The following is a 7,940-nucleotide window of genomic DNA, read 5'->3' as shown; positions in this document are numbered from 1 at the left end:
GTGCAGAATAACTCCAGAACACAGGCTTGAAGATCCCAAACGCAGCATCCTTCAGGGTACTCAAAAGGCTAAACATTTTTTATGTGTTTATCTCAGTTTAATAACATTACGATGTGTTGAATATTGTTGAAATTTTATATTTTATATTATACCTTTAACAATGAGTATTGATACTTCAGTTTTATATTTTACATTTATTTGGCATCCCAGCAATCTTGTTGGTATTTTACAATATAACCTTCTTATCTTTGCAGGCTCTGACATATATGAAATTCAGTTACTGCAGTGTATTTATATAACACCACTTCCCTAATAACAAGGTTGAAATGAAATTTACTTGGGTATATCAACTGTGAGTAATTGTATAAACGTTGCTGCTAGCTCTTTAGTCCAGACATCACTGCAAAGATATCAGATGTGTCTCATGATCAGTGATGAAATCACCCCACTTCTCTCAAAGACTGTCAGGGATTGGTCACTGTGCATCTGTGATTCAGTTCACATACAAACAGAAAATACATATTTGTGTTACTACCTTGTCTCCCAGTGTTAAGCCCAAGTGACATTTTACAAAAATGAGTAATCAAAAGAGGTAATAGGTCAACAAAGATGAAGGTGTAGCAAAGGACAGAAAAGTGGTAACAATGGAAATGAAATTGAATGTGATTAGAAGATAGTAGACATGGAAATGTTGATGCTGCTTTCTTTAGAGACACCAGACATGCAGCCAGAGGAACTTAATGAGGGCCAAGTTACCAGCATAAATGAGAAAAGTGGCTGTAATGAGATGTGCTGGAGTAAGTAACTCCTGAAAACAAATATCACGTTAGAGGAGCTACTGAAGGATTTTCACAATATTAGAAGCAAAAGAGATAAAATGTTGAAAGCTGACTCAAACCTAGAAGAAAGGATGGCAATTCACTAAGGCATGGAAAAGACCCTTGTTCCATATAAAAGGAGAAGGTAATCAATGTTTGAACTACTCTTCATACTTCTTGTTTTTAAACAAATTGTTTGTCAATGTTTCAAGTATTTCCATTTAGCATACACTAAATAAATATTACTTTTACTGTCTCTTCATTCCTTTTTATGTATGTTACTGACAATCAAAGAATTTCTAATAGTTTGGCAAGTTTTTTTTTAAAAGGTCACAGAACTATCAATTTTTCACTTTGAATTCTAATAGCAGCTTGGCATTAGCTCATACTCTCAATTTTACAGTCCACAGTGAAGACCGTCCATTGTTATATGACACTGGATAAACTACTCGTCTGCTCAATTCAATTAAATAATTCAGAAATGCAGCAATACAACAAATATAGAAACAATCAACAACACCTTACTTGTGTTTACTATTATTTATCATAGTGTTCATTCTTTTTTACAGTCTATCTCCAAATTACTTCTCTTTTTCTTTATTAAAAGAGCAGATCCTGACCAGCCTGCCCAACATGGCGAAACCCCATCTCTACTAAAAATACAAAAAATTAGCTGGGCTTGGTGGCAGGCACCTGTAATCCCAGCTACTTGGGAGGCTGAGGTAGGAGAATCTCTTGAACCTGGGAGGCAGAGATTGCAGTGAGCTGAGATCACACCACTGCACTCCAGCCTGGGCAACAAGAGTGAATCTCCATCTCAAAAAAAAAAAAAAAAAAAAAAAAAAAGCAGACCCTCTTCTTCCAACAACTTCTATTCATAATATAGTATATAAAATTATCAAGCAGGCTAAGGAAATGCCATATATATTTTTTGTTTTTTTGTTTGTTCAATGTCCAGAATATTTTCTTCATCTCCCCATAATAGCCATAATAACATCACTTTCTCTCTGAGCTTTCTAGACCGGCTTTTCCTCATAATCAAATTATTTGCTACCCAGTTCTGTTTCCATAGCAGTGATTTCTTATCTCTGTCATAGGATGGTATAGGAAGTCATAAGTTAGTCATATTCTGAGCTCCTTAGCACCTGTTCCTCTTCTCATTCATCTGTGTTCCCCTAGTATGTAGCACAGTGGCAATTTCTAAAATAGCTCTGTATATTGTTTTTCCTTAATTAAAAAGGTAATTGTCTTTAGTTAAAAAGGCAATTTTTGGCTATTTATTTTTATACTCTGCTAAAATTCACACTTTACTTTTGGGGAGCACAACTAAGTCATATGTTTTTTGAAGTGCAACTTCCTGTTGCTGCTTCTTTTATAGGTCATTTATCTTATGAGTGACAGAAAAAGGAATGGCTTATAAATGCATCTGTGCTTTTTGCATTTATAAATGCACTTATAAATGCATTTATGCATTTATCTCATTATGAGTGACAGAAAAAGGGGTGGCTTATAAATGCATCTATGCTTTTTAGGTAAATACCAAGAAAATTGGAATAGAGGCTATTGACTGATTTGGAAGAAACATATACATTAGTAAATCAGTAATTTCATACCTATGTAAAAATCTATTAAATCATATTGCTTTAGACTACTCATGGGTATGTTGGTCAACCCATGGCCTATGATTCAAACTTACTGTTTTTTTGAATATATAGTTTGCATATTTGCATATGAAAAATCAGAAATTATCATTGGGATAATTAGCCACCCTTTACTCATTAAACATTTTTCCCAGAAATGCACTTAATATCTTATAATTATTTATAAGCTCAAGTAATGTATAGCAAAAATGAAAATGTGCATGGTAGGTATTATATATCATCATGGATTTCTGGAATTTCTGTGAAACAATAAACTATATTTAGAAGTTAAACAGAAGTAATATTTTTTAAAAAATCAGTTAAGAGGAAAGCAAGCACTTTACTGACTAAACAAGATTCTGCAGTGAACATCTGTTAAAATGTGGAGGATTTAGTTTTGAAAAAAAATATATCAAGCATTGAGCTTGAAATAGAAAAATAACTATTCAATTTTCTAAAGTGACTCTACTCAAGGAAATCTTATTTTATTTTTCCTCTGGGAATTTAAGTATGTTCCGAATGTCACTCGTGATGCTCGGACCTGTATTACATACAGACATTGAGAAGACTTACAGAGCATGACACAATACAATATGTCAAAGTAGTTAAGATACTGATTGAATTTTCCCAATCACATATTCACATTAGTTTCTTATGACTTCCATGATAATTTACTACAACATTAGTGACTTAAATCAACAGAAATTTATTCCCTCACAAAACTCAGGAAGCCAGAGTCTAAAATCAGTTTCACTGCGCCAAAGTCAAGGTGTTATCAGCATGACTGCCCTACTTCGGGAGGCTCTAGAGACTGTTTGTTTCTCACCTCCCTCAGTTTCTGATGGCTTCCGGCATTCCTTGGCTAGTGATAGCATCACCACAATCACTGCCTTCATGGTACCATTGCCTTGTCTTCTTCTGACTGTCATCTCCCTCTACCTTTCTCTTACAAGGACACTGTGATTGCATTTAGAGGCCACAAGGATGATAATCCAAGATAATAGCACCATTTCAAAATCCTTAATTTGACACATGTGAAAAGTTCATTTTTTTAAGTATAAAGTGATATTCAGAGGTTCCAGGGATTAGAACAGACTCTCTTTTGAGGGCCCTTTAATCAGCCTATCACAACACTAAATACTAATTTTTACACTAGTCAGTGAATTGCTCCCCTGCTTCACATTGAAACAATGTGAATCAACATTTTTTAAAAATTGCTGTTACCCTGTGAACTGGCAGATGAATCAGTCCACTTTTTAAAAATTATAATTGATTATTCATTAATGTCTAGAGATAACCTATGACTTCTGGCATTTTTCATTTTGATTAGAAAACCATCTAAAAATCTTTATCAAACCCTATTATCTCTGCAACCTCCATTGTCATTGAATAAATGAATTGGCTTTATCATCATTACACAATTCACTACATCTAAAATGTAAGTGAGTATGGAAAGGCAAAGGGGTTATTTTCAAACGCGTGTAGTCACATTTTGAGGAGAGTGAACAAATATACCCGTCAATTTGATGTTTTTTAAACAGTATTACATTTTTTCTTATAAGAAATGAAGTTATTTTTTATTCCATTTTTCTTTGCAACAGTGTCAAATACTTTGCATGTCAATTTATTTACTAGTCCTTCTTTTGTTATTTTGAGATTGCCATCTACAATAAAATGTTCAAGTTTTCCACTTTGGAAATTCACACACCAATCCCCAAAACATTGTTTTCATACACACTGTTATCCTCAACATTATTATATTTTTATTCATATCTGGGCTGAGGGTGTTTGTCAAGTTCTACTAGGAGGCAAGAGGGAAGCAACCCAGATGCCCCGGGGGTTAGACAGTCACAGAATCCCATGCTTTAGCTCCCTGCTGCCTCAAGAGTGCCATTTCTGTGTGCCTTTGTTGTCTCCAAATCTGAAACATCTCAGGTAAATTTCTTCTGAGAATAAGTAAGTTTTAATCTCTTAGGGAAGTAGTGACTTGGTTCTGCTGGATGAACAAAGAAACTTGGAGACACAAATGCTTCGTGCAACTTTCAATCAGTTTCCCGGAGTTTTGTCCTAAACCTCTTAAAGAATCAAGAGGTCCAAGGGAGAGGTCAATTTTTTCCATCACCATCTTCTAATGTAGTCTATGTTTTCTTTCTAGTAGTTACCTTCCACTCCATTTATGCTTTTTTTCTTGAAAAGCTTCAATTCTATGGGAAAATATGAACTGTTTTTCTATTTTCTTTGTCTTGATTAATTTAGACTAGTTCTATTTCATTTTAATATTGTTAACATTAACAAACTGGTGTTTCCAGGGGAAATGATCATTTCACTACATTTAATAAATTTAACTAGTATTTTTGTTTTTCTTATGACAAACATTTAATTTAGCTCCTAACTATATCTCCATATCTTCTTCAGGTATTTGGAGAAAAAAGTGGTTACTCTCAACTCAGGCAAATCAAAGAGGAATTTAGTGTAAAGGTCAGAGAAATTTCAAGGAATTCAAATACTTTAAGTATAGCTGACCTTCAAAGGGACTGTAAGACATTATTTTAATTCAGTAGCTTGGAGAGGCTTCAAGCAGACAGGAGATCATGGATTTTGGTTTCTTAAATTTATTCAGTTATGTGAAACAGCTTTATTTGTGTGAGACAGATTGTGTGTGTTTCAATGGAAAAAAAGGGCTTTCAGACACACCAGAATGTAAACAAATTGCTTTTTTCATGTAATCATTTTAAAGAAAAACAAAGGAAAATACACTAGAGATTTCTGGGTACATTTGCCCTCATGAAGTCACTCGTAATGTATTTGGTCTCGGACTGCTAATGACAAGAAGACTATGTGTCAATTTTAACTTTTTTTATGAATACTTCCTTCAGTCACATTGTTTTACAACCATTTTGTCACTGAAAAAAGCTTCCTTGAAATAATTTTTAAAAAATCAAATATTTAATCAGTTTGATATTTTCTAACATTATCTTATAGCATATTTTAAATATTTCTATTAATAAGAATTTGTGGGACTCCCAAGCAAGATGGTGGAATAGGAACAGCTCCAGTCTGTAGTTCCCAGGGAGACCAATGCAGAAGGTAGGTGATTTCTGCATTTCCAACTGAGGTACCTGGCTCATTTCACTGGGATTGGTTAGACAGTGTGTACAGCCCACAGAGGGTGAGCAGAAGCAGGATGGTGCGCTGCCTCACCCAGGAAGCACAAAGGGTCAAGGAACTCCCTCCTCTAGCCAAGGAAAGCCAAGAGAACTGTGCCATGAGGAATGGTGCACTCCAGCCCAGATACTACACTTTTCCCACGGTCTTCACAACCCACAGACCAGGAGGTTCCTTAGGGTGCCTACACCACAAGAGCCCTGAGTTTCAAATACAAAACTTGGGGGCCATTTGGGCAGACACCCAGCTAGGAGTTTTTTAAATTTATTTTTATTTTCTATTTTTGTACCCCAGTGGCACCTGCAATGCTAGCAAAACAGAACCATTCACTCCCCTGGAAAGAGGGCTGAAGCCAGAGCCAAGTGGTCTAGCTCAGTGGATCACACACCCACAGAGCTATGTATATGCACCCAATACAGAAGCACCCAGATCCATAAAGCAAGTTCCTAGAGACCTACAAAGAGACTTAGACACCCACACAATAATAGTGGGAGATATTAACACCCCATTGTCACTATTAGATCAATGAGACAGAAAATTAACAAGGATATTCAGGTGTTGAACTTAGCTCTGGACCAAGCCGACCTAGTAGACATCTACAGAACTCCCCACCACAAATCAAAAGAATGTAGATTCTTCTCAGCACCACATAGCACTTATTCTAAAATCAACCATATAATTGGAAGTAAAACACTCCTCAGCAAATGCAAAAGAACAGAAATCATAACAAACAGTTCTCAGACCATAGTGCAATCAAATTAGAACTCAGGATTAAGAAACCCACTCAAAACCATGCAACTGAATGGAAACTGGACAACCTGCTCCTGAATGACTACTCCATAAATTACAAAATTAAGGCAGAAATAAGTAAGTTCTCTGAAACCAATGAGAACAAAGACACAACATACCAGAATCTCTGGGACACAGCTAAAGCAGTGTTTAGAGGAAAATTTATAGCACTAAATGCCCACAGGAGAAAGCGAGAAACATCTAAAATTGACACCCTAAAATCACAATGAAAAGAACTAGAGAAACAAGAGCAAAGAAATTTAAAAGCTAGCAGAAGACAGGATACTAAGATCAGAGCAGAACTGAAGGAGATGGAGACACAAAAAACCCTTCAAAAAATCAATGAATCCAGGAACTGGTTTTTTGAAAAAATTAACAAAATAGATAGACCACTTACCAGACTAATAAAGAAGAAAAAAGAGATGAATCAAATAGACACAGTAAAAAATGATAAAGGGGAGTTCACCACTGATCCCGCAGAAATACAGACTACCATCAGAGAATACTATAAACATCTCTACTCAACTAAACTTGAAAATCTAGAAGAAATGGACAAATTCCTGGACACTTACACCCCCCCAATACTAAACCAAGAAGAAATCTAATCCTGAACAGACCGATAACAAGTTCTGAAATTGAGGCAGTAATTAATAGCCTATCAAGCAAACAAAGCCCAGGCCCAGACAGATGTACAGCAAAATTCTACCAGAGGTACAAAGAGGAGCTGGTACCATTCCTTCTGAAACTATTCCAAACAATAGAAAAAGAGGGAGTCCACCATAACTCATTTTATGAGGCCAGTACCATCCTGATGACAAAACCTGGTGGAGACACAATAACAACAACAACAAAAATTTCAGGCCAATATCCCTTATGAACATCAATGCAAAAATCCTCAATAAAATACTGGCAAATTGAATCCAACAGCACATTAAAAAGTTATCCACCACGATCATGTAGGCTTCATCCCTGGGATGCAAGACTGGTTCAACATACACAAATCAATAAATTTAATCCATCACATAAACAGAACCAATGACAAAAACCACATGATTATCTCAATAGCTGCAGAAAAGGCCTTTGATAAAATTCAACACACCTTCAAGCTAAAAACACTCAATAAACTAGGTATTGATGGAACAAATCTCAAAATAATAAGAGCTATTTATGACAAACTCACAGCCAATATCATACTGAATGGGCAAAAGCTGGAAGCATTCCCTTTGAAAACTGGCACAAGACAAGGATGCCCTCTCTCACTACTCCTATTCAACAGAGTATTGGAAATTTAGGCCAGGGCAATCAGGCAAGAGAAAGAAATAAATGGTATTCAAATAGGAAGAGAGGAAGTCAAATTATCTCTGTTTGCAGATGACATGATTATATATTTAGAAAGCCCCATCGTCTCAGCCCAAAATCTCCTTAAGCTGCTAAGCAACTTCAACAAAGTCTCAGGATGCAACATCAATGTTGATAAATCACAAGCATTTCTATACACCAATAAGAGACAAACAGAGAGCCAAATCAT

The sequence above is a fragment of the Homo sapiens genome, chromosome 13, assembly GCF_000001405.40.
Source record: "Homo sapiens chromosome 13, GRCh38.p14 Primary Assembly".
Classification (NCBI taxonomy): Eukaryota; Metazoa; Chordata; class Mammalia; order Primates; family Hominidae; genus Homo; species Homo sapiens.
Note: the sequence above shows the minus strand (reverse complement) of the source record.